At 40.6% G+C, this 27,814-nt stretch overlaps 1 protein-coding gene across 4 annotated transcripts in view, besides 2 other annotated features; it reads left to right on the top strand.

Moving 5' to 3' along the window:
* LRP2 (LDL receptor related protein 2) overlaps positions 1–27,814 on the top strand; it is a 235,426-nt gene that overhangs the window by 199,768 nt on the left and 7,844 nt on the right. For all 4 annotated transcript variants that reach the window (XM_011511183.4, NM_004525.3, XM_047444340.1 and 1 more), the window contains 14 exons: positions 167–295; positions 5,265–5,396; positions 6,362–6,493; positions 8,164–8,307; positions 9,803–9,968; positions 11,741–11,869; positions 15,808–16,028; positions 16,844–17,020; positions 19,974–20,093; positions 22,222–22,312; positions 23,157–23,224; positions 23,396–23,516; positions 24,061–24,190; positions 25,274–25,375. In XM_011511183.4, coding sequence (XP_011509485.1) covers positions 167–295; positions 5,265–5,396; positions 6,362–6,493; positions 8,164–8,307; positions 9,803–9,968; positions 11,741–11,869; positions 15,808–16,028; positions 16,844–17,020; positions 19,974–20,093; positions 22,222–22,312; positions 23,157–23,224; positions 23,396–23,516; positions 24,061–24,190; positions 25,274–25,375 — 1,862 coding nt within the window. The remainder of the gene's footprint in view (positions 1–166; positions 296–5,264; positions 5,397–6,361; positions 6,494–8,163; positions 8,308–9,802; positions 9,969–11,740; positions 11,870–15,807; positions 16,029–16,843; positions 17,021–19,973; positions 20,094–22,221; positions 22,313–23,156; positions 23,225–23,395; positions 23,517–24,060; positions 24,191–25,273; positions 25,376–27,814) is intronic.
* Positions 20,694–20,988: a silencer, noted in NCBI's record as "tiled region #15259; K562 Repressive DNase unmatched - State 12:CtcfO". NCBI's record gives its function as "represses a minimal TATA promoter and a strong SV40 promoter by Sharpr-MPRA in K562 cells {active_cell/tissue: K562}" and the evidence as "EXISTENCE:reporter gene assay evidence [ECO:0000049][PMID:27701403]".
* Positions 26,002–26,515: an enhancer, noted in NCBI's record as "NANOG hESC enhancer chr2:169992762-169993275 (GRCh37/hg19 assembly coordinates)". NCBI's record gives its function as "activates a minimal SCP1, AML or CMV promoter by ChIP-STARR-seq in naive H9 embryonic stem cells {active_cell/tissue: H9 hESC(naive)}" and the evidence as "EXISTENCE:reporter gene assay evidence [ECO:0000049][PMID:30033119]".

The following is a 27,814-nucleotide window of genomic DNA, read 5'->3' as shown; positions in this document are numbered from 1 at the left end:
CGTTGGCTAGAACTGGTCACATGGTCCTAACCCAGCTGCAAGGGAGACTGGGAAATGTAGGGAAGCACTTGTTTATTTGGTAAGCACAAACTGTCTCTGTCAAAGAAGGAAGTATCTTGCTTCATAAAAGAAAAAGTTTTGATTTTAACTTGTTTTTACATTGCAGGTAGAAAACCGACCCCTAAACCTTGTACAGAATATGAATATAAGTGTGGCAATGGGCATTGCATTCCACATGACAATGTGTGTGATGATGCCGATGACTGTGGTGACTGGTCCGATGAACTGGGTTGCAGTAAGTAAACACTTGTTTTTATAGTTCATTGTAGTAACTCAGGTTTACCTAATTAAAACATGCAATAACATAATGTAGACACTGACCACATTTTCTCCTTAATGTACTTTTTGCTTGAATTCCAGTCAAGCCCATAGCTAGCTGTGACTGAGTGCTTATCCTAGACCAGACATTGTGTCAAACATTCTACATGCCTGGTAGCAATCTTATGAGTTAGATGTTATTATCTCTTTCTTATGTACAAATGAGCAACGAACTTAGAGGTTAAACGAATTGGCCAGGTCTTACTGTCATTAAGAGGTTGACTCAGGATTTGAACTCTGGTCTGTTTCACTGCAGAGCAAGTCCTCTTCCCAGTCCACTGGGTGCCTCTTAGCACTTTAAGGCTACATATTTTGTTTATTAGTCTGCACATTATGGTGGGAGGATGGGGGAGGGATAGCATTAGGAGAAATACCTAATGTAAATGATGAGTTAATGGGTGCAGCAAGCCAACATGGCACATGCATACATATGTAACAAACCTGCACGTTGTGCACATGTACCCTGGAACTTAAAGTATATACATGAAAAAAATCTTAAGCCAAATGCAGTATCCTTGGTACCTGAAAATCCTTCTGAGGGTGTTTGATCAAGAAGGGAACGCCACAGGGGACCTGGGAAGGGACATTTATTTTTATTTTTAAAGTTGAGGGAGTGGCTGGATGCAGTGGCTCATGCCTGTAATCCCAACACTTTGGGAGGCCGAGGCAGACAAATCTCTTGAGCCCAGGAGTTCAGGAACAGCCTGGGCAGCATGGCGAAACTCCGTCTTAACAAAATACACAAAAATTTGCTGGGTGTAGTGGTGTGCACCTCTAGTCCCAGATACTCAAGAGGATGAGGTGGAAGGATGGCTTGAGTGCAGGTAGGGGCTGCAGTGAGCTGTGATTGTGCCACTGTACTCCAGCCTGGGCAATAAAGCAAGACCTTGTCTCAAAACAAACAAACAAACAAACAATCAAACAAAAAAGAAAGTAGAGGGAGCACTTTGTGTAGGAAAAGGATGATGAACATAACCAAGGAACAATTCTAGCTCAATATTTTGATGGAAATGTTAAAATGACATGTTACTAAGTCACACCTTTGTAGTCCATTTATGACTCATAAAGTGCTTTCACATACATTATTTAATGTGTTACTCAAGTTAGCCCCATTGAGTTGCTGTTATTGTCTATGTAATAAAGCTCAGAGAGCTTAAGTAACTTCCTTGTGGTCACACAGAATGTCAGAGGCAGAATTGGAGCAGTCATGTAAGTCCAGGTTAGGAGGGCTGGCCTCTGGATCCCTGCCACTAGCTGTGCCACTTTGGGCACATACTGACCTCTCCAGTCTTTGGTTTCCTCACAGGAAAAAGGAGGCCCTTCTCCAAACTCTAGGAGCCTGTGACTTAGTCATCCTAGTGAGCTCCATGTGCTTTCAACTTCTTGGGCTCTAATTGACTTTTTCCTGAGGCATCCAAAGGATTTTCTATCAATTTTTCTCCTGCGTGAGTTACGAAGAGGTATGAATAACCAGCCATATTGAGTTGGCTTGCCATTTATTTCACATACGTTTTCTGTGGGACTTGGAGTTATTGACAGAATGAAGTGACTTGATAAAATATTTTAAAAGCCTGAACATGATAGAATTTGCAAAACTGAATGGCAGGTTTGGGTTCTGACTCCCAGAGACTGATAGGTGGCTTAAAATAGACTACAGTACTTTCTTTTCAAATGGCATTTAATTAGTAGCAGGTTTTTTTTTTTTTAAGGAAATAAGTAGCACAAACAATTCGGGTATGGAAGCAGCTTCTCTTTTCAGATATTAAGTGAATATGTGACATGGAATTCAGTCTTATTTCTCTGGACTAATAATTTGAGGCATAGAATTCTTTTTTAATATACTAGTTCTTGGGTGCTGTTAATTTATTTGCCTTTGTCTTTTTTCTCCTTCCTCCTCTTCTCCTTCTTCTTCTTCCTTCTCCTCCTCCTCCTTCATCTTCTTCTTCTCCAAAAGCATCACTGAAGTGTTTAAGACACATTGTTCGATTTTTTAAAATTGAAGGTATACAACATGACATTTTGATGTACTTATATATAGTGATGTGTTATAATCAAGCAAATTAACATATCCGTTATCTCACATAGTTATCTTTAAAAAAATTATTTTTGTGGTAAGAGCACCTAAAGTCTACTGTCTTGGCAAATTTTTGGGAATGAAAATACATTAGCATTTTTTCTAGCACCATTCAGGTATAAAGGAAAGAAATTAACCTCAGGTTGCAAATATTATTTATGTGATCATAAAGATAGATTGACTTGCTGTTTCTCTGGTAGTTCTTATTCCTTCTTCATAAAATGGAAAGTAGGGTATTTCTTTTATAAATAGAGTGCCATATGTTTGGGTTTGGGGAAATCAGTTATACGGGTTAAAATGGTGATCATTTTCAAATGAAAACAATGATAAGAAAGCCCTCACATTTTAGGAAGAATCCTACAGTGTCGTGTGGTTTCTGCTCTTGTTAAGGACTCTTGCTTCACAAAAGGGTGACTCATTTAGTGGATCACTTGGTCCAGAAATTCTTGACTCCTGGGACCCCTAATCCCTTTATAGATTTCAGAGCTAGGAGGAAATTACAAAGTCTAGTGATGCATGTGAGACCCATGGAGGTTATGTGACTGGCTCAATGATATCCAAGTTAATAAACATAGGTCAGATTCATTTAGCAATGTAGAGGGGATATCACTGCTAATCTCACAGAAATTCAAAGGACAGTAAGGAAATACTATGACAAATTTTATGGCAATAAATCAAACAACTTACGTGAAGTGAATAAATTCTTAGAAAGACACAAAACTCTGAAAATGGCTCATGAAAAAAATAGAAAATCTAAATAGATGTTTTAACAATGTACAGTTGTTAAGAGCTCCTATAATAAAGGCTAGGATCTTTATTATAAGACTTTCATGCATACAGCTTTGAAGTCTGCACTCCAAGGGCAGCATTCCATTGAATTTCATTGTACTTTATTTTGGTTATTTTTCTTTTTGAAACCCAGTGTTCTTAATGTACTCAGACCACATATAGTGATATGATCATTTACCCTAAAGGACTCTGAGAGTGATTAAGTTCACCTCATTGCATACTATGGAAAACAGATAGATATAAATCTATTTTGATTTGAAAGAATTAAATCAGGAGATACCACAGTCTCTTTGGCTAAAATACTCAGAAGCCTATGACCAGGAGACTTTTTATTTGAGAGGTAGATGAAGCTTAAATCCTTAATGGAGATAACCACTGCCTCTCTTTCCCCCATTATCACTCACTATCTATGTTCATCTTCGCCAGTTTTTCTGTAAGACCTAGGTTTGGGGATAGATGGAGGATAAAAGAAGCAAACTGATAAGAATGACAAGGATGAAAGCCAGATGGCTTGGATAGATATTGGTAGAGACAAGATCTTGGGGCAATGATGAACAATGAAGTGTTAGGGTAAAGTGTGAGCTGTTAAAAGTCTGTCTTGGAACATCTGGATCAGAATAACAGGGATCATTTATATGGGCTCTACAAAAATAAACTGTGTTTTTTTTGTTTTTTTTTTACTGTGAAAGTTCAATAACAATCAAAAGTAAAAATCATTTGAATCCCATCACTAAAAGAGAACTAACCTTTAAAGTTTGGTGTACTTTTGCTATCTTTTTTTTGCATATGTATATGTAAGAAATATTTCTTAGTATTTTGAAAAATTAAGAAATATTCTATACTAAATGGAGTTTTTCAGTCTTTTTTTCAATTTATTATAGGTATTTCCCATGTCAAAGTATCATTTGAAACTATAAATTTTAATAATCACATAGCAATTCATCATGTAGATAATCATAACTTATTGCTTCTAAGATGTATTTTTTTATATTTTAACATCTTTGAAACCAAGATATATATCTTACAATTAATAACATGTCAGCGTAAGTTCCAGACATATTCAATTTTAGTGTTACATAAAGTAATGGTGCATCATTAATGTCTTAGTTTTTTTATACTATAACATAATTTATTCCCTATCACTGAACATACATTCAAGTTGTTTACAAACAAATGTTCTTATTGTAAATATTTTTATAATCCTTAAACGTAAATTATACTGCATATTCCTTCTCAAGGGAAAATTCATTAACATGGAATAACTGGGTAAAAGAGTATGAATATTTTTAAAGTCCTTGGTGCATACATACATAGTACAAAATTTCTTTCCTTGTGTACTAATTTATGGCTCTAAGAGCAGTTGTATGATTTAGAACTCTATGTATTTTACTGCACCCTGGTCAACACTTGATATACATGTATATATTTGTGTGTGTGTGTGTGTGTGTGTGTGTGTGTGTGTGTATATAATCAATTGGTCAATGTTAGGGAAATTATAGTCTTCTTAAAATTTTATAATTTCCTCCTATTTGTAACTTTGTTCTAACCTATCTGTATCCATGTCTTTTATTTATTTATTTATTTATTTATTTATTTATTTATTTATTTCTATCTGTTATCTATCTATCGATCTATCATCTATCTCTCTATCTATCTATTGATCTATCTATTTGCAATAGGATTAAAGATAGTAGAGCAGGTGGTAATAGCTGTAGAGTGTCAGGCTTCATAGTTGTGCAGTCCAGAATTGGATGCTCTGAGGATAAGCCTAGGAGTGCTGCATATAATGTGAAAATTGCCTCAAAGTTTTAGCATTATATGCATTTATCTAAATGGTATTCAGATCACGATCAGAAATAGGAATCCTGACTCCCCCAGTGCCCTCTGTCCTCTCCAAGGCTTATGGAAAGGGGTTATCTCAAGATGTCCTATAGTTGGTTACGAGTAGGTGCTTCTTTTGATACACCACTTGACTGTTATTTGTGGCTGATCTGGTTTGTAATGCTGGGATTTTGTTTTTCAGATAAAGGAAAAGAAAGAACATGTGCTGAAAATATATGCGAGCAAAATTGTACCCAATTAAATGAAGGAGGATTTATCTGCTCCTGTACAGCTGGGTTCGAAACCAATGTTTTTGACAGAACCTCCTGTCTAGGTAGAGTATATTTTTTCCAATTCCTGTTTAGGTGAACTTTACATCTAAGGTTCTCCACCCACTCCCCTTTGTTAAATAAATCACTATTTAATTCCCTTAATGGTACCATACTCATGGTTTCATGGTTCTAGGTCATTAAACTACTCAAGAATTGCTTTCCCCCACCTGCATGCATGCTATCTGACCAGTGCCTACCTGAGTGCTTGTCAGATACTGTGTGCTCAGTAGAGTCTGTGGAATTGATATGAATGATGAAGGCCTTGGTGATGATGGCTGCTTATTGCACCAGTGTGTGAAATCAAAGTTAATTTAAAAAACAAACTAGGCTTACTTTCTTCATTGTAAGTCAAACAACCAACACGTATTTATTATACACCTACTTACGCCAGACATAGATGAGTTGTAAGGTATGGAGTCAGAAGGTAGCTTATCAAGATGGTGAGTGATGAGCATGATTTTAGGTGCCTTTTAGTATTTGAATTTACTGTTTCTAATTCATGATATGTCATAGTCAGAAGATTGTAAGAGTTCCTTTTGGACTTGAAGCTTAAGAACTCAATTGAAAAACTAAATCAATGACTCCTGTTCCTGAAGCTGGTTAGCAGAAGTGAAGAGACACCGAACAATACAACACAACATATGCCTTCTGAAAGGGAAAATGTGCTCTGCTATTGCAGAGTCATAGAGTTTAAATCCTGTCTCCATTGCTTATCAGCTTTGGGACTGTGGGCTTAATCGTCCATACCTCTTAAAGTCTTTTGGCAAGACTAAACGAGGAAAATATTTGAAAAGCATGTGAAACAGTATCTGAAACTTAGTGTTTCACAAATGTTTGTATCATTGCTTATTTTCATCTGTACCCTTCTCGGTCCTCATTGCTGGTGAATATGGGTTTAAACAGAAGCAAGATCTCTAAGGAATGGATGGGAACAGATGTTGCGTATTTGGTTTTATTTTGCCTACAGATATCAATGAATGTGAACAATTTGGGACTTGTCCCCAGCACTGCAGAAATACCAAAGGAAGTTATGAGTGTGTCTGTGCTGATGGCTTCACGTCTATGAGTGACCGCCCTGGAAAACGATGTGCAGCTGAGGGTATGATGGGTTCATGTTGGGATTAATTGACTTTTGGGGAAATAAATACTGCTAAGTACACTATACGATGAAAGAAACTTCAGCTTCTCATAGTTTTTCTTTTCTTTCTTTTTTTTTAAACTCGCCAGCTGCTTCTCTTCCAACACCTCTTTAGTCGCTCCTTCTCTCTCCTCCCCTGCCAGCTTAAAACAATAGCTACATCCCCCAACAAATATGTAGCAATTAAAACAAGAGCCAGGTGTTACTTATTATAATGGATTTAGCCTCTTGTCTACCTTGATAAAAACTTCAAAAAGTGGACAAGATGTCATCTTTCTTAAGGCTCAAACAATAACAAAAGCTTGCCTATGGGATGGTCATCAATAAAAGGAAGGTAACAAGGCCCTCTAGCTCCCACTCCACTGAGAATAAGATTTGAGGCCCAGTAGTCCAAGAGGGCTCGTGAATTGGGGCAAATCAAGGACATATCCCTTTTGTATTGTTCATGGACTACTGATCACAGGCAGAAAGGAGTCTGGCACAGTCATAACTTCAATCATGAGTTTTACGTTTTAGGTTGATGCCAGTGTCTGACAATCGGGCCTAATAAAACAGAGAAAGAATGTAAGTCAGATGTATTATACTCCAAATTCCAGAGGCCTGATCTAAATCATCATATCCTAGTTAAGAGGCATGGGTCTTTATTTTGAATTTGAAGTTTGTACTAGAGTTTAAGGAACTTGATAAGAAAATAGCACTTTATTTTGTAAATTAAGAGTAAATGGCCAAAATGGCTGTTCAATTTCTTCATACAAATTGAGCTTTTAAAGCATACATTTGACTAGCATACTTACATATTTTACCCTCAAAACACTGTTGACAGTGAATGAAAACTAGAGTGAAAGCATTTGAACAGTTGGTCTGGTAATTAAGCAGCAATTTTTTAAATGTTTAAATCCTTTAACTAAGGACATGACTGAAACAAATTGGAATATTCATATAAAACATAATGTCAAGATAGAGGAAATATATAAAATGAACTTTTAAAAGTTACTTAAATTGGATTCAGTTGACATTATGCAAGTAAATTAAACTTAACAAATTCTAGACAGTGCATCTTGGGATGAGTCACCATTAAGTAGCTGCTTTAGGTTAAAAAAATTAAATCAAGGACAAGCTAGGTTTATTTTGTCATTAGCTAGGAGCTAAATTGGGTCATAGAGCTGATTACCTGCTAAAAAGAATCATAAAATCTGTCAGGAAACAGTAAGGAATGAGACTTTTCTGGTAAACTTTTAGTAAGACTATAAAAGTATTTCTTCTGTGAGATAGAATGTCTGCAGTCTAGTCTGTTTTGATGTCAGTAAATAAAAACAATTCAGTGAAAATGAGGACTGTACGTAGGGTTCTCAGTCTAGCTTTGTTCCATACTACCACTGAGTACAAAGAATAAAGAACTGATAATGTCCCTAAGAGACATATTAGCTTTCCACTTGAAGTGGAGAATGTCAAGTCACGGATTTTGTAACCCAGTTGGAGAGTCAGCTTTATTGATTAACAGAGATAGTCAGATTCCTATAAAAACTCATGTTCTTTAAAAAGGGGACAGGTACATACTGTGCATTTTATATCCTACTTTATATAGGAAAGTATAATTCAAACAGATAAAGTAGCCCTTTGTTTGTTTACAGGTAGCTCTCCTTTGTTGCTACTGCCTGACAATGTCCGAATTCGAAAATATAATCTCTCATCTGAGAGGTTCTCAGAGTATCTTCAAGATGAGGAATATATCCAAGCTGTTGATTATGATTGGGATCCCAAGGACATAGGCCTCAGTGAGTATAAACTTTGGCATCTTTCATTGATATTAAGTGACTTTATAGAATTTTAAGGTGTTGACTTTTAAGGAATTTATTGTTTAATGAGTGAATTTTGTTGCATTAGTGGAGGAGGAAACTCTTCCAATCCAGCATGCTCCTGATGCCTTAGCGTGGCCTTGAATCCCAGCCAAGCTTTCCTGATTTCTTTCTAAAACTCCTCCGATCACTGGGGTTTATCCTTTCTGGACCATCTCACATCTTCTTGTATTTTGAAATTTCCTTGTCCTTGATACTGCAGATCTTGTTCCTTCCTACCATTGTACACCTTGAAAATTTCTACTCAGACCTCAAAGACCCAGTTTAATGTCACCACCTCTGTGACAACTTCTATCACTCCTTCTGGCAGAGTTCTATGATTGCTCACCATGAATCTATGTCATTTTATGGCACATGTTACTCTAAGTTATATAGCTAGTTGACCACATAATATCTTTCTATCCTCTAGACATCTGCTTTTTGGGGACAAAGACTGAATCTAATTTATCTCTAAATGCCTAGCAGCTGACCCAACATCTAGTACACTCTATGTGGTAGGTGATCAAAAAATTTAGTTGAATGAAGGAAAAAGATGAATAATGCTTATTGTTGAATCTCTCATGGCTCTATCTGGTGTTGGGGGAGATGACAGTAGGGTAGGAGTCAGAAAACTTGTCTTCTGTGCCTGTAAACTTATCTTTTATGCCAGTCTCCCTTATCTACTAGCTTTGTGATCCTAAATAATTGTAACGATTCTCTGAATCTCAATTTTTTTTCTACAAAATCAAAGTAGTAATCTTGTTCTGTCTGCTTACCTCTGAGAGTTGTTTGGAAGATTGAATGAGATAGTAGATATGAAAGGCTTTGAAAACTATCAATAACTATACCAATGTAGGATTTATTATTGGTGTATTTTCACACATATTCATGCAATACAATACACTTTTCAAGAATGGTGCATACCTAGGAAAGCAGCAGGTGTCCAGTGCATCCCTCTACAGTCACAGTCTTCCTATGCTTTTAACATGCCTGCTGTCCACCATCCTTCTGTCTGTATATAAAATAGGACTTCTCGTTGACATGGCTTCTTTATTGCCTCTGATCTTGAGTATGCTTTCAAATTCTCAACAGCCTGCCCTGGTTTATCTCTATACATTCTGTTTTGGAAACTAGAACTTGATCCTAATAAGAGTAAATAAGCACTTTGTTGAAATACGTTTAAATGAATCACTTTTAAATAGAGATGACTAAATCTCACTAAGTTCTCAGTTGAAGCATTTGTAGCTCATAGCTCAAGTTTGATAGGTTTTAAAGTTTGATTATACTGATGTCATTGAATTATTCATATTATAACAACAGTGAGGAGGGAGGTAGAGATGTCAATAAACGAACAGTACTTCACCTGATTAGACCCCTGTTCTTCCTTTACTTGATGCTCTTGACATGAAACTGACCTGTGTGTCTTCCTCTGTAGGTGTTGTGTATTACACTGTGCGAGGGGAGGGCTCTAGGTTTGGTGCTATCAAACGTGCCTACATCCCCAACTTTGAATCCGGCCGCAATAATCTTGTGCAGGAAGTTGACCTGAAACTGAAATACGTAATGCAGCCAGATGGAATAGCAGTGGACTGGGTTGGAAGGTAAATTTGCCATACATTCCCCCCTTACCTGTTCTGTTTTCCTGGTTAGAGTTCTCTACTGCACTCCATGGGCCATGAGTGAGTCTGGGCCTGGATATGAGTACACTCAGCCATGGGTGCAGCTGGGCAGTGGTTGGGCTTGCTGAAGCCCCAGCAACTACCTCCACTTACCCCAGCATGTCATGGAGACATTATCATATCCTGTATTCTTTGTGGGCCATGAAAAAAATTGGGAAAGCACCCAGGTCAATATCTGGATATAGATATTATATCTAGGATATAATAGTGAATATTATATTTACTATAAGTGAATAGCATTCTTGCCAACAGAGTTCTGGATTCCAAAATTAACTTTCAGTATGGCAGCACTGCTCATTTTGTGAAGAAATGGGACAGCCTCACAATTCTCCCAGCAAAGCAGTTGAGATGAAACTTTTTTTCTATGGTAGTTATCTTGGGGACGAACAATCCACATCTTGTGTTTTTAGCAGGCTTCTAGTTAAAACAGATTGGAAATTTGACTAAAGAAGTCTTTGGAATTGAGTTAATAGAGGTGTCAGTCTCTTCTGTTCTTCTAGACCTTCTAGTGGCCCAGGGACCAGAGCCACACATTTTGGATGGTTTTTAAGTAGAACTTAAGTAGGGTTATCATCAGGTAGGTGTGTGAGGTACAAATGGATGTGGAGAAGTTAGTAAGCTCATTCTTCAAGGAAGAGGTTTGCACTGACTTACATTGGTGGGAAAATGATTCCTTGAAAATGAACCAATAATGCAAACATGTTTGAGGGGGAAGGTTCAGGAGACACTACTCTCCTGGAGAATGGATAGTTATTTTCAGTGTAAATTCTTTTTCACCTTTTAAAAAATGTGGCTGGTGTTCCTGGAAGAGCATCTTTGAAGAAGCTAATTGGGTCCCGCTGTGCCTGCAGGCTAACAGGAGACTCATTTTAGCATTTTCAGTCAAGAAACAGGGCCTTAGAGTACTGTTGCTAGAGTCAGGAACTCAAAACTCCAGACATTAACACTCTCTTCTGAAAACCAACCAGGGAATGGCAGATCTGTCTTCTTGTTTGAAGTTTTACCTCTTTCTCAGCCTTAATGAATAAGAGAATTAAGAAAGTGGTGGAACTTTTTCTGCTTGTAAGAGACTGAGACCTGCAGCCTCAGAAGTGGAAATAAGGCAGGACAGTCTTGCCGAGTTTGTTATTTTAAAAGGCTGTTTCCACTCATCTTTGAGCTGACACCAGGTTCCTATTGATTCTAACGGGGCTCTTTCCTGAGGAGGAAACAGACTCATGGGCAGTCAGAGTTAAGGCACCAGCCCCACCGTGCCTTATGACTTCTACCTAGAAGCCCATGTCTCATAATAATGCCAGTCAGAGGCCAGTCTGACTGCTGTGTCTATGGTAGTTATCTTGGGGACGAGCAATCCACATCTTGTGTATTTAGCAGGCTTGTAGTTAAAACAGATTGGAAATTTGACTTTCCTGTTTAGTCTTTGGAATTGAGTTAATTCCATTGTGGATCCTGCGTGATTCAGGTGCTTTGGCTGTTGGGCAGGAGTCCCCTCAATTCCTTACTCTTCCAAGTGTAACCTGCCAAACATGTCCCCTTGGCTGTAGTTCCCCCAAGAGAGGGGGACTATGGTCTGATGATAGGTATCTGAGCAGCTGTCTCACCAGCCAAACGAAATGCTCTCATCTTCAAACCTCTTACCCAGTAATGATTACTCTAGGCTTTGCAGTTGTTTAACTTTGTCCCTCTGAATTCAGGCATATTTACTGGTCAGATGTCAAGAATAAACGCATTGAGGTGGCTAAACTTGATGGAAGGTACAGAAAGTGGCTGATTTCCACTGACCTGGACCAACCAGCTGCTATTGCTGTGAATCCCAAACTAGGGTAAGTACTTGGAGAAGTCTTCAACATCTAGATATTTCTCCCTGGATTCTCATCAAATTCCATGTTTCTTATAATTTTTTTTTCCTAGTTTAACTGAAATTGTCCTTCAAGTTTTTGGGAGTAGCGTCTATGACTGTTTCAAGAATTATAACATGCCCTTGAGATCATATAGAACCAACCATTTCTGATGGGGAAATTCCTTTAGAACACATCTGAGAATCTTTCTAGTTACATGGATTCCTTGCCAAATCAGAGCTCTGAACTCTAAAGTTCTTTGTGGATATAACTGTTTTAAGTGAAGGTTTCAACAGAATTGTTTTTCCTTTCATTTGGATGTTTTAAAGTAACTCATTCATTGAAATCCAGCTAGGGATTTGGTCATATTTCATTTAAAAATTAAACATTTATATCCAAAATATATAAATATTTAAAATGACACATGTATAAATATATATTATCCATTTGTATAAATATTCCAATTTGCAATTTATCTATAAATCATCTCAGTGTAAATGAGAACAAGTTTTGTTATTTTTCTCTACATTTCAAGACATTTATTTGAATAATCACTAAGCTGAAATGACTTGGTATTTACATATTAGCTTAGCTTCAGAATAGTGACACTTTAAAAAAGTTTTTTGAATGACCCCAAATAATTTTCCTACTTGGGCAGGACCAGTCTAGCCCTCTGTAGATATGCCAGTATTTGTAGGTAGAACCCTATGAGCTGTTATTACTTTAATTCTGTTATATTTCATATGTTAAATCATACCCTCAGAAACTCAGCAATGAAATATGAAAAATACTTGACTGATGAGATTAACCTGTAGTGAGGACTTGTCCTCAGCATTAGTCATTGCTGCTTATATCTTATCTACACAATATATTAGGAGCAAAGAGATGCAGTGTGTTCTATGGTGTGAATGATGTGACTGTTTCCAGTGTGCCGTTTAATTTTTTCCTCTGTAACTAATGTTTAAATTCATCTGATATTATTATCATACTCTGATATCCCTCCACTGTTTTTTTCATAGAAATTCTTTTTTTTTTTTAATTTTTTTGGAGATGGAGTGTTGCTCTGTTGCCCAGGCTGGAGTGCAGTGGCATGATCTCGGCTCACTGCAACCTCTGTCTCCAAGATTCAAGTGATTCTCCTGCCTCAGCCTCCTGGCAGCTGGGATTATAGGCACCCACCACCACACTGGGCTAATTTTTGTATTTTCAGTAGAGACAGGGTTTCACCATGTTGGGCAGCCTGGTCTTGAACTCCTGACCTCAGGTGATCCATCTGCCTCGCCCTCCCAGTGTGCTGGGATTACAGGTGTGAGCCACCACACCTGGCCAGAAATTCTTATTTTAGTCTTTGTAATTCCTTTCTCTCTGGAATGGCTCAGTGTAGTCCTGTGAGGGATAGGAAGTAAGAAAGGAGTGAGAAAGGGTTTCACTGCCTAAGGCCTGCAGACCCGACCTACAACCTCCTCATTTCATGATCCATTTGAAAGGCTCATCATCCATAAGTTTTATAAGCATAAGCATATATGATGTGTTGAACCTTCTTACAGCTTCTGCGGTATAAGATCTGCCAGTGGGTCCAAAGGATGATGAAGATGATAACTACTGATAATACCAGCAACAGCAATGAGAAGTGCCAACATTTATTCTATTCTTGCTGTGTGCCAGCTACTCTGCTAAGTGTCCTACATATATAAACTCATTTGAATTGTACAAAGGATCTATAAATTAGTCATAGGTTTCTATCCCTTATTTACATAGATGGGTAAAATAACACCATGCTCCTTCAGACAGCAACTGTTGACTATAATATAAGATACAAAGGGAGAATTGTCATGAGGACACTGCTGAAAAACACTGTGATAGTTCTCCTACCTTACAAGGGTTCAGGGAAGCTCTATGGAGAAAGTAGCACTGAACTGAATGTTGAAGGTTGGGATCCACTGGTAGTATAACCAGTGATAAAGTATGTGACATGTGAGGTCAATGTGGGTGAGAGTGAGAAGGGCCACTTCCCAGAGAAAGTGGGACTGACATAGAACCTAGATGGATGTCTTGGGTACTGATAGGCAAAGGAGCCAGGCCGGCTGTTCAGAAGCTCAGGCAATAGCATAAACGAAGTCATGGAGGAAACAAAAATCATTCTGTGTACCTTTTGTGTGTTTTTTCCATTCCATTCCCTACGTTTTGTTTTTTTTAGTTTTGAGTATTTAATACTTTTTAATTTAAATTAAATTGAATTAATTAATTTACTTATATAGACAGGGTCTTGCTCTGTCACCCAGACTGGAGTGCAGTGGCATGATCATAGCTCACTGCAGCCTTGAACTCCTGGGCTCAAGCAGTCCCCTGCCTCAGCCTTCTACTTGCACACCACCATGCCTGGCTTATTATCTTTAAGAAAACAGCTTATATAATTCACATATGGTATGTATGGTATGATACAACTTACCCATTTAAAGTGTACAATTCACTGGCTTTTGGTATATGCAGAGTTGTGTATCCATCATCATAATCGGTTTTAAAGCATTTTCATCACCCTACAAAGAAACCCTGTTCCTCTGAGCCACCATTTTCCTGCCCTCAGTACCTGCTAATCTGCTCTCTGTCTCTATAGATTTGCCTATTCTGGACATTTCCTACAAATGGAATCCTACAGTATGTGGTTCTTTGTGACTAGCTTCTTTCACATGTGTGTCCTTTTTAATGAAAACCAAACAAGGTGGTATTTACCAGTTGTTGAGACTTTAAAGGCCCCTGGCTGCATTTTTTCCAGAGCCCAGTTTGTCTAAAATCCACACATTCGTCAGTAGAATTTAAAACTTGGCCTATGCCTGATGACTGGTTTAGACTACAGGCTGCAAAGCAGCGGCTGGTGGGCCAAATATGGCCCATAGGACATATTTGGCTGGGACAACACAGAGCTTTAAGATTTTTTTTTTTTTAACATAGTGCTGACATTTAAAATTTAAGAAAAGAAAGAAAACCTGTATTTCTTGCTTTGGAAATCAGAGGAGCGGATTACACTGGGTAGGTCTGCCTTCCTGGGCACTGACAGGAGCTCTTACACAGGGTCTTGCTCTCCGCATCACTTGATATTTACAACCGGGATCTCTCCTCATTCATCTTACATACCTGTTCCTCTCCAGGTATTTGAAATCATGCAATCCCTGGTCTAGGTAATTCAATGTGAGATCATCTTTGCTTACATAGACCCTTGCTCTACAATTAATTATTAATTGGATGCAAAAGACATATTTAAAAAGAGTTGCTGGGTGTGGTGGCTCACTCCTGTAATCCCAACACTTTGGGAGGCTGAAGTGGGGGGATTGCTTGAGTCCAGGAGTTCAAGACCAGCCTGGGCAGCACTGGTCAAACCACGTCTCTACTAAAAACACAAAAAACTAGCCAGGCATGGTGGCACATGCCTGTAGTCCTAGCTACTCAGGAGGCTGAGATGAGAGGATCGCTTGAGCCCAGGAGTGTAGTGAGCTATGATTATGTCGCTGCATTCCAGCCTGGGCAACAGAGTAGCTCCATGAAGATAGAAATCTTTGTATGTTTTGTTCTCTGATAGATCCCAAACACAGAACAGTGCCTCTTACACAGTAGGCCTTCAATAATATTTCTTGAAGAGTGAACAGCTTTCATAATACAGCTTTCATAATGCATTTTAAAGGGTCTGAATATCCATCCTTCGGCCAATTTCTATTAAGGAGGTGCAGTTTTCAAGAAGGATAAATCATATGTGCTCTTGCGCCCCTATTTTTGCTCCCCATCTTCTGTAAAATATAAAACTGGTGTCACTGAGCACCCAGGTCCCTGAGATAAACAGTTGGTTTCCCTGTAGGTAATGCCCTGTGCTCTGCTGTAGTGGAGAAGTCTTACCAGGTGAGATGCTACAGTGAAGAAATCTTCTGTTATAGGCTTATGTTCTGGACTGACTGGGGAAAGGAACCTAAAATCGAGTCTGCCTGGATGAATGGAGAGGACCGCAACATCCTGGTTTTCGAGGACCTTGGTTGGCCAACTGGCCTTTCTATCGATTATTTGAACAATGACCGAATCTACTGGAGTGACTTCAAGGAGGACGTTATTGAAACCATAAAATATGATGGGACTGATAGGAGAGTCATTGCAAAGGAAGGTTAGAAATTAGTTAGAAAGTAATATATTAAATTAATAATTAACATATTTCTAATGTCTTTGCCTGTTTTCTCAAGAAGGAGCCCTGCTCTTAGGAAATGGCTTATATAGTTTTTTAGATACCACCCCTCCACCCCCACCAACTCCCACCTGCTGAATTAAATGCAGATGAGTTCATTAGCAATAATTAAATCCTTTTCGTCCTTTTTACACAACTTTAAAAAAAAATGCTTCTCAGCAGAAGATATTGAAATAACTGAGTTTCCTGTTAGGTTGCCCCAGTAGAGGTGGTTTCATGTGTACCAATGTTAATTCATGTCTAACCGCTTCTGGACACATTCATTTTCACTTTACTAGATTGCCCAGTATGCACAACTGTAAATATCTAGGAGATGAACATTTTTTGTTGTTGTTGTTCAGACTCTGCAGAATTGCAATGACCCAGCACATATCACATTTTTCCTATTTGGTCAGATAGATGTCTTATGTTCAAAAGAAAACATAAAATCTTGCCATTTAAATTGTTTTCCAAAAATGCAGTAAAATCAGTAACTTGAAAGTGAGCTAGGGCCCTGTGATTGGTGTCGGGTGGTATACATCAATGTGGTTTAATTTCTATCTTCTTGACCTCCTAATGCAGCACACTTTCACAGTCCCATGTAGCTAAAGTCAGCCTGAATATTCCCAGAGCTTCAAGGCATTGTATGAGGGAATAATTCAAGCAGAATGACATCAGATCTAGAAGTGGCGGTAGGGTGTAGTGGGTATTTTCTTTTCAATAACCTTCTGTTTTGTTTTTCCCCTGTGGGTAAGCAGCAATGAACCCTTACAGCCTGGACATCTTTGAAGACCAGTTATACTGGATATCTAAGGAAAAGGGAGAAGTATGGAAACAAAATAAATTTGGGCAAGGAAAGAAAGAGAAAACGCTGGTAGTGAACCCTTGGCTCACTCAAGTTCGAATCTTTCATCAACTCAGATACAATAAGTCAGGTAATCACCAACTTTGGTATAAGATGCTCCTCATTACTTGGAAATCTTATTTCAAAATAATGGCTATATTGCTGGAAGATGGCAGTAGATAACAACAAGCTAATCTCTTGGTGCATGAAAGGGGTATATGTGTATGTACGTTTGCTGGGGGAGAGGAACGTTTTAACCATTTTCACCAAAGAAAGATAAAATTGGTGGTCAAATGAAATTATGCAAACCATCAGCAGGTAAGTAAAAATATTAGCCCTCATCATTGTTTGGAGTGATGGATATGTACTTCTAGGCCACAGAATCCAGCAGACATCAGTCCCCTGCTAAATGTGAGTTGGGTTAACAAGTCACAAAATGGGTTTCATAGGCATCAGAAATCTTATCCTTCCCATTGCAAGGCTAGGCTAGTCAGGTCAACCTGAGATATGTAGGTCTTAGTTTAAAATGGCCAGTCATGTGCATTCCTACCCGCTCCCCTCTGTCTCACTTTCCCACTTCTGGGCCCTGCTTCCTCAGGTTACCTGTGCGCTAATTTATCCTTCAGCAGTGTGTGGAGCAAGATGAAAGGCAAAGGGAAGTGAGGAAAGGAAATAGCCTTTTACTAAGTTCTTATGTCAAATTCTCTCTTCAGTGTTAATTCAGCCATCTATTACTTCAATTACCTTATAAAGACCTCCCAAACCTTATAAAGACATTTTATTCTCATCTCAAATAAAGAAACTGAGGCCGAGACAGATTTAGTAACTTGTGTGCCTAAGTCACATAACAAATGGGTGAGTTTTAATCTCAGAAATGAAATAATTTTTAGGTTCAATTCTATCCAACCCAAAACTCAGCATCTTGCTGTATTGGCCCAGTGTTCAGTATGCCAAAGTCCCAGGTTGAATGCTATGGATATGTGGCCTTTGACAAGTTACTCCCTTCCTGTCCCCATATGTGAGTCATGGGTGGAGTCTGGGGTTGTCTTGAGTCTGCTGATATTTTGAGACCTTGATCAGCCTTGAAAAATTGCAACTCAAAGCTGAGACTCCCATGAGATGACAGGGGTGGCAAATGCCTTTTCTAGGGCATGGCTTCCTTGTTTTGGAAGTATATCACCAAAACACTCCAGAATACTCCAGACCCTACCAATAGAATAGCTTTTGTGTCCTAAGTGCCCTTGCGGCTCTCACACTTGGCAATTTTAAAGGTAGGAGAGGAAGGCACAGTACACCTGGAAAGGCTATCTCCCCTCCCTACCGCCTCTGGACCCTGAGGAGAAGGCAGAGGAAAGTCTGGAGGCTGCCCCTGAAGGAAAAGCATCTCCCTCCGGCAGCTGATGCTCAGGGAAGGCGGCTCCTTTGGAAAGTGCTGGTGGAGTGGGGGTGGGGGTGGGGGTGGGGATGGGGAGTACAGCCCCAGCCCAGCCTGTTTGAACCAAGAGTTCTGAAAGTTGAGCATGCCTCAGAATTATCTGGAGAGCTTGTTAAATATAGATTCGTGGGCCCCATCTGTTGCACTTCTGATGCAATATGCCTGAGGTGGCCTAAGAATTTGCATTTCTAGTTCTCCTGTGACGTTGATGCTGCTGGTTCAGTGACCACATTTTGAGAACCGCTGCTCCAGTCCCTTGCTACTCAGAGTGTGGGCCATGGGCCAGGAGTCTTGGGATCCTTATGGGAGCTGGCTAGAAATGCAGTCTCTCAGGCCCACCCCAGACCTTCTGAATCAGAATCTGCATTTTAGCAAGATTCCCCAGGTGATGGATAGCACATTCAAGTTTGAAAATCTCCACTCTGGAGGGCCGACGAAATGGTAATGAGACAGATATTGATGGAGGCTTTTGGAAGATGTGTTACTAATTTATAGCTATGCTTTGTCTGTGGTTACATCTTGAATGACAGACAATCAGGATCACAGAATGTTAGTCTGAGAAGGAATGTAAAGATTATCCACTCCAGTACAACCCTTGGATAAATCATAATACATGCTAAGGTAGAATTAATAAGGCTCTAGACTTACCTAGGGAGCTTTTAATGGTAATACTTGAACTCTACCCCAGACCAATTCAAATCTGAATCTCTGTGAATGGGCATCAATAGGTTTTTTTGTTTGTTTGTTTTTTGTTTTTGAGACGGAATCTTGCTCTGTCGCCCTGGCTGGAGTGCAGTGGTGCAATCTCGGCTCACTGCAAGCTCCGCCTCCTGGGTTCACACCATTCTCCTGCCTCAGCCTCCTGAGTACCTGGGACTACAGGTGCCCGCCACCACGCCCAGCTAATTTTTTTTTTGTATTTTTAGTAGAGACGAGGTTTCACTGTGTTAGCCAGGATGGTCTCGATCTCCTGACCTCGTGATCCGCCCAAAGCGGCCTCCCAAAGTGCTGGGATTACAGGTGTGAGCCACCGCGCCTGGCCTGGCATCAATAGTTTTGAATAGCTCCCAGGTGATTATGAGGAACCATTGCTCTAAATTCCCTTTTCTTGCAATTAAGGTAACTGAAACCCAGAAGAAATGTCTCCTTGGAGGGTTGGGGTGGAAATCACATCCAGTATACTTTGGATAGACCATATGTTATGATCTGTCCAGTTTTGGGTAGTGACAAATCTTGGTATAATATGTGGATCTCACTGGTCTTTTGAACCATCTCAAGTTGTTTAGCACTGAGTAGATTTTGAGGTTAGGCAGTGAACCAGATACCCACCTTCCAAACCTCTCAGGGCAGCAGAGAAGATAAGTGATGCCAATAGAAAATGTGAGTGGTACAGAAATTGGCTGGAGGGCCCAGAGAGGGACTATCCCACTGCAGTGTGGTGGCAGAGATGATAGTGTAAATGAGGGTGAGTGGCCAGCTGACACGTGGACGAGAGGTATTGAGAGGATGCCTAGGCTCTGCTGTCACCTGGCAGAGCCACTTCCAGTTGCTGGGTATTCAGGTTATTCATTCTGTCAGGACCTAACTGCTGTTCTCACCCGCTTTCCAGTGCCCAACCTTTGCAAACAGATCTGCAGCCACCTCTGCCTTCTGAGACCTGGAGGATACAGCTGTGCCTGTCCCCAAGGCTCCAGCTTTATAGAGGGGAGCACCACTGAGTGTGATGCAGGTAGGAGCACTGCCCAAGCAGCTATGGGGGCCTGGGAGCACTCCTCTGCTGCCTTCAGGAGTCAGAAGAATCCCTGTATGCTGGGTCCTTTGCAGCAGAGTGGGGATGGCTGGAAGGAGGGTTAAGGGATGTGGGAGGTATGAACAGAGTTGAGTGGGACTTAGGGGGCAAACAGAACTGTGTTCCAGTGACTGCTGAGAATTATTTGCTAAGATCTGCAGAAATATAGATCCAGTGTCCCTAAATCTATTGCTGTGTTGTTTTGTAAAGACATTTTGAAGAGTGAGTTTTTATAAGACCTCTACCTCAAGCTGGATTCCCATTGCCCCAGAATCCACTCAACCTTAATTGTAGCTCCTCAGGGTAGAGAACCATGTCCAGTTTTGACAACTGAAAAAGGGCTACCTTTTGAAAAGTGCTTTATATTATCAGGAGACGAAGACCAGCATGAGGAAGCTGTGGTTTAATTCTAGTCCCAAACGCTGTGGGTGATCTATTCTTGGCAAGACTTTTTTTCAATGACTCTTTTAAGGAGTTAATAAGCCGGATGGGGGCGAATAACTAGTGTCCCTAACTAGCATCCGGTGCTGGAAAAGCCTGTGAAAAAGTCGTCCTGCAATTCACTAGCGGCCCATTTTATGGCTCACATCCTTGGGGCCTTCCCCCAGTTTTAGCTGATGGGGAAAGGAAAACGCTTAACCACCTTCTACCACCAGGGGGAGCAGGCAGTTAGACCAGGAACCACCCTTTGACTCATTCCAAACAGGCTGAGGAGTTGGCAGGTTTAGGGAATGAATCCAGGGAGAAAAAACTGTTTCTTGTCACCCCTCTTCCCCTACTCTTGCACTCATCCCAACGCTACTGGGGAAATATTGGTAGGAATCCAATATTTCGAGCCATATTTGGAACAAAATGACAATTTCAGGCTTTGAGATTTGTTCCATGCTGTGGATAGATTGTTTTGCCACTTACTGCAATTTCACATCGTGGGAGCAGTGTGGTCCTGGTTGTCACCTCATCTACTACTTTTCTCATTTAAACTTTTTGCCAAGTGGATTTTATTAAGATTCTTGTTTTAAAGAACTTTAACCGAAGTAAGCACACGAATGATGGCAGTCATTCCATATAGGGCCTCGGTTTGGTATAATAATTAAGCAATTAGTCCAGTGAGATTTCTTGAGTGCCAGCTATGTGCCAGGCACTGTTCTAAGTGCTGGAGGTAACAGAGGTGAACAAAACAGACAAAACCCCCTGTGTGTATTGAGTTTACATTCTAAGAGGACAATAAATAGAGAAGTCAATAAATACATGGTAGTTCAGGTGGTACTATGGAGAAAATGAAGGCAGAGGAAGAGGGATGAGGATGGGGTGAGTGGGGATTGTCCTTTAGATAGTGTTCAGGGAAGACCTGTCTGATACAGTGAACATTGAGTGGAGACTCAGATTGAAGGACTGAGCCAGGAGGGTATCTAGACTCTTTAAATAATATACACATGTAACCTATACTTATTAAGCATCTTCAATATAAAAGACACTGAAGCACTAATTCCCCATCAGGCACATCCTGGGAGTATGTACAGGCCTAGCTGGGAGCAGGGACTTGGAGTAAGGGCAGTTTGGGAGGACTTGAAAACTCAGGAGCTCTCTAGCTAACTGCCTATCAAATATCTCTATATCTGTAGCTATGTGACTGCCTGTGGACTGATCAATTACTGATGCTTTGGTGTCTTTAGTTGAAGTTTCAAGGTGGGCCTACATTAAACTCTTGATTTTAACTGGGTTCACGGAGGAGAATTCTGAAAACTTCAAATGAGAATGTGAATATTTTAAGAGATTATTTTACCACTAGGTTCTTGTAACTATTAATATATGTGCTCCAGAGTCTAGTACCTCTCCATTGTTTTTTGGGAAAAATTCTATAAACTGCCCCCTTTCTTTCCACTAAATGTATGTTACTCTCCAAGACCTTAAGGAAACTCACTGGACTTAGGGGGAAGGTAAGCTTTGACAGGGAGACTAATTGGCTGGCCTGCCCCTCCTCCCACCCCTAACCTGGGCCGGTTTGCATGGTGTGGGCACTCTGCTGAGTACAGCTGACTAACACCTGCATGGCTTTCCCTTCCTGCAGCCATCGAACTGCCTATCAACCTGCCCCCCCCATGCAGGTGCATGCACGGAGGAAATTGCTATTTTGATGAGACTGACCTCCCCAAATGCAAGTAAGTCTGAATGTTGAGGTCCCAGCTATAGGCCTTGCCTCTTCTGGGGAAATTTGAGACCTTAAAGTAGCCAGGAAAACAAATACAGGAACCTCACCAGTTCACTAATTCTTACATTTTAACCAGCTTGCCTTCCCTTGAGGGAGTCTACAGAGAACTGAGGCAGTGCTTCTTTAACTAGAATGTGCATAAGAATCCCGTGGAGATCTGGTTCAAGTGCCCATTCTCACGCACAGAGATTCTGCATTTCTAACAAGCTCTAGGTAGGCCACAGGGTCTTGGACCACACTTTGGGGAGCAAGGAGTTAGAGAATTGGCAGCAGCATTTTCCTACTCACCTGGTATTGTTGATTACAACAGGGCTGTGGGAGAAGAGCTGTCTGCAGGGCTGCTTTAGTACAAGGCACTCGTGATGAGCAGAAAGACTGGGATGGATTCGGAAAGAAGATGACTGTGTTGCGAAAACTCTAACATGGAGCAAGATAAATGGATGTCTTTAAAAAGCATTTAATGAAAGCATATAAAAGAAAGAAACATAACCATGGTTTCCATTTGTACTCTCTAAGGAAGCATTGCATAGATTAGACACCAATAGGTTTTCGTGGCCAGACTCACCCCCTCAGTGCCACAGCTACTCCATTACAAGTGCATTTCTAAAATCAGAGCACTGTTCTTTCTGCTTGTCTTCTCTTGGCAGAATGAACAAAAGTCATGCAGGATACATTGTCTGTTCAACATGTAATTTATGCAGTCAAAGCTCTCTCTACTTCAGGATGTGCTCAGAAAAATGCAGTAGAAGCCTAAGAACATAACAGCTAGTGAATGATTTGCTTTTTCCTTTCAGGTGTCCTAGCGGCTACACCGGAAAATATTGTGAAATGGCGTTTTCAAAAGGCATCTCTCCAGGAACAAGTAAGTTTTAAGAATGTGAGCAACTTGGAAATTACTCATGGCCCCTACATTGAATGCTGTCACAGCTTTTCTACTTAACCCAGTCTTTGAAGGAGTGGTTCTAGCCCCCAGTTTCTGCCAGGATTGCGGGCTCCCATGTGTTGATGTGCTCTCTGCTATCTTCTTCTATAGCCGCAGTAGCTGTGCTGTTGACAATCCTCTTGATCGTCGTAATTGGAGCTCTGGCAATTGCAGGATTCTTCCACTATAGAAGGACCGGCTCCCTTTTGCCTGCTCTGCCCAAGCTGCCAAGGTCAGTTTCATTATGGGGAACGTTGATGTTTGAAGCCTAAGAAATTCATATGAAGCCATGTGAAGGACTTAGTTTTCTTTCTAAGTTAAAAAAGCACAATACGCAGTTCACCGATTCCACAGAAACAAAAAGTAGTGAGGATGTAAAGCAGTCACTTCAAATCCCAACTTCTTAGTCAAGTGCTTCTCTAAAGCCTGAGTGACAAGCTGTGTTTTGTAGTCCAAATGGTTGTGCCTACTGGTAGGTGTTCAGGTCAGAGAGGAGTGAAAAGGCAGCTGTGTGATGGCCCAGGCTTTATCCTTCTATGTGCTGGACTCTTTTTCTTTTAGATCTCATGGTTCAGGAATGTGCTTTAACGTTTCCAGGTAGCTAAGGGAACTTACTACCATATTTGACAGTGTAAATTTAGAGTGGGAATTGAGCATTACATTTGAGGAAGATTTGGCAATGTGGAGGAGAGGGTACTATTGTGAAAGGTTGTATTTGTTGTTTTTGTTGTTGTTGTTTTAAATAACAAGACACTGTTTTGGTTACTTCTTTCCAGCTTAAGCAGTCTCGTCAAGCCCTCTGAAAATGGGAATGGGGTGACCTTCAGATCAGGGGCAGATCTTAACATGGATATTGGAGTGTCTGGTTTTGGACCTGAGACTGCTATTGACAGGTCAATGGCAATGGTGAGTATGGTTTCAAAATGATTATTTGAAGGTTGTCATTTATAGAATAAATACTTTTTATAAAGAACAAAATTCACCTAGAGAAGACTGAAATACAGTATTAGGCCTCTCAGAATAAGGTCTGCACTACACAAGTTAGGAAACATTAGGTTTGTTGCTGAAAGGTGTCTAAAAACATTGGTAATAACATTGGAATTTACCCCTGCTCTAAGCCACGCTGTTGAATTGGAATCATGAACAGTCTGAAGTTTAACTTGAATATTGAAGAGCTTTCTGGTTTTTTTGAGGGTGGTGTGTGAGGAGGACATGATATTTTGTTTTTATTTGATGACTTTTATATGTATAAAAGGAGTAGGGAACTATATTTTTCCTAGTGTCATATATTTTTCTGCCAATGTATAGTGATGAAATAAACAGTGATTTTAGAGTTGGCGTTGGTCCAGACCACGGCTCTGCCACCTACTAAGTATGTGACAATAGACATGGAGCTTGATATCTCTGACCCTCATTGTCCCTATTTGTAAAACAGGTAAAATAATACCTCCTGGGAGGACCAAATGAAATACTTTATGAGGGGGCTGCCACAGTCTTGGCACTGAGGGGGCTTTCTGTAATCAGTATTGGGAAACCACTTTCAGAATTTTGTCTCTCCCTCAAATCTTTCATTGTTTTCCTTCCCTGAGAATATTATATTATCCATTCTTTTTCCTTCCCCTCTCTCCTTATTCTTCTTTTCTTCTTCCACCATTATCCTTTTCTCTGTGGCCCAGACCCAATTCCCAAGTGAGTTATTTAAGAGAATTTGGATATAAGAAGAATGTTACCATTTCCTTGAGTTGGTAAATTAGTGCATGTTATGTTACTTTGCATAATAATTTGCCATATGGAGGTCTTGTGTTTTGCTGGCCTTTTTTTTTTTTTTTTTTTGCAAGTTCTCTTTTGGGTAACTTATGACGTAGCACCTAGCGTACCTCCAGGTGTGAGGAAGGCACCTTTCTTTGTGTGTGAACCAGATTAGTATGGTGTAATCTCTCTCTCTGTTTCTCTCTCTCTCTCTCTCTCTCTTTCTGTCTCTGCCATCAGAGTGAAGACTTTGTCATGGAAATGGGGAAGCAGCCCATAATATTTGAAAACCCAATGTACTCAGCCAGAGACAGTGCTGTCAAAGTGGTTCAGCCAATCCAGGTGAGAAACCATACAGTCTTTTCTTTCAGTTACTGCTGTCGCTGGATCTTAATCTATTGAGTCATGTCTTAGGATTTTCCTAACCTTCCCTCCAAAGGGAAGGAAGCATAGTGAGTGGTCCATGCTGCAGCTGCCCTATCTGCAGGAACAGGACCAACCCAAGGACATAAGACCTGAAAACAATCAGAATCCTGTTCTGTTGCACAGTGGTGGAGGTTTGGCAGCCATGCCGGGGCTGCTGGCCAAGAACCTTTCATTTTGAGTGGTGTCAGAGCAAGAGAGGTCTGAGTCCCTTCAGGGGCCTGGGAAACACAGTGCCTGAAGCACCACAGCTTCTCTACAAATACTTGTGAAATGAATGAGTGGAGAATTGTCAGGTCACTATACAGGAATTTGGGGACGGGGCCCACTCTCTGGTTCTTGCTGCTATCCCAAGCATGTGGTTTGAGGTGGATTAAAGGGAGAGGGACCTCTTATGCTTGCTGTTGCCATACTTTTCTGAAAAGTACAAAGGTCTCTAGAGTTGATGGGCAGATATCTAAATTTCCTTGTTGCAGCCTTGTTGCTCAGTCATCTTTTTTTGTGTGTGTGAGCAACAAGGCTATTTATTTCACCTGGGTGCAGGCGGGCTGAGTCCGAAAAGAGAGTCAGCGAAGGGAGATAGGGGTGGGGCCGTTTTATAAGATTTGGGTAGGTAAAGGAAAATTACAGTCAAAGGGGGGTTGTTCTCTGGTGGGCAAGAGTGGGGGTCACAAGGTGCTCAGTGGGGGGGAGTTTTTGAGCCAGATGAGCCAGGAAAAGGAATTTCACAAGGTAATGTCATCAGTTAAGGCAAGGACCGGCCATTTTCACTTCTTTTGTGGTGGAATGTCATCAGTTAAGGCAGGAACAGGCCATTTTCACTTCTTTTGTGATTCTTCAGTTACTTCAGGCCATCTGGGTGTATACATGCAGGTCACAGGGGATGCGATGGCTTGGCTTGGGCTCAGAGGCCTGACATTCCTGCCTTCTTATATTAATAAGAAAAATAACATAAAATAGTATTGAAGTGTTGGGGCAAAGAAAAAAATTTTTGGGGGGGTGGCATGGAGAGATAATGCGCAGTGTTTCTCAGGGCTGCTCAAGTGGGATTAGGGGCGGTGTGGGAACCTAGAGTGGGAGAGATTAAGCTGAAGGAAGATTTTGTGGTAAGGGGTGATATTGTGGGGTTGTTAGAAGAAACATTTGTCGTGTAGAATTATTGGTGATGGCCTGGATACGGTTTTGTATGAATTGAAAAAGTAAATGGAATAAGAGAAGGAGAAAAACAGGTATTAAAGGACTAAGAATTGGGAGGACCCAGGACATCTAATTAGAGAGTGCCCAAGGAGGTTCGGCATAGCCCTGCCAGCAAAGATTATTTATTTACTTTAAGAGGGAGTTAAGAGTGGCGGTTTGGGGATAGCACCACGAGATATCAGCTGTGACGGCTTGGAGAAACAGTGTAAACCGGTGGTATAAACAAGAGCAGGGCATTTATGAGTAGTTGAGAACGGTGAATAGGAGTATGACTAGACAGAAGATAGTAGGGATGACAAGTTTTTTGGGGTGCAGTCCAAGTTGGTCTGGTGTCTGGAATGAGACTGGGGCTTAATAAAAAGGAGCGTCTATACAGGAGCTTAAATGGCTGTACCCTGTAGCATTCTGAGGACAGGCCTGAATTCTGAGAAGGGCAAGTGGTAAAAGTATTGTCCAGTCCTTTTTAAGTTGGTGGCTGAGCTTGGTGAGGTGTGTTTTTAAAAGACCATTAGTCCATTCTACCTTTCTTGAAGATTGAGGACCGTAAGGGGTATGAAGGTTCCACTGAATACCAAGAGCCTGAGAAACTGCTTGGGTGACTTGACAAGTAAAGGCCGGTCCACTGTCGGACTGTATAGAGGTGGGAAGGCCAAACCGAGGAATTATGTCTGACAGAAGGGAAGAAATGACCGCAGTGGACTTCTCAGACCCTGTGGGAAAGGCCTCTTCCTATCCTGTGAAAGTGTCTACCCAGACCAAGAGGTATTTTAGTTTCCTGACTTGGGGCATGTGAGTAAAGTCAATTTGCCAGTCCTGGGCGGGGGAAAAACCCCGAGCTTGAGGTGTAGGGAAGGGAGGGGGCCTGAGAAATTCCTGAGGAGTAGTAGAATAGCAGATGGAACACTGAGAAGTGATTTCCTTGAGGATAGATTTCCACAATGGAAAGGAAATGAGAGGTTCTAAGAGACTGGCTAGTGGCTTGTAACCTACATGGAAGAGGTTATGAAATGATGACAGAATAGAATGGGCCTGTGAGGCTGGAAGGAGATATTTTCCTTGGTCTAAGAACCATTTGCCTTGTGTGGGAAGAGATTGATAGGTGGAAGTTTCAGCGGGGGACTAGGTGGGAGTGACTAATGTGAAGGAGAAAAACTGACTGTG

The sequence above is a fragment of the Homo sapiens genome, chromosome 2, assembly GCF_000001405.40.
Source record: "Homo sapiens chromosome 2, GRCh38.p14 Primary Assembly".
Taxonomy (NCBI): domain Eukaryota; kingdom Metazoa; phylum Chordata; class Mammalia; order Primates; family Hominidae; genus Homo; species Homo sapiens.
The sequence above is the reverse complement of the archived record's forward strand: the minus strand, read 5'-3'. Positions and strand labels throughout refer to the sequence as shown.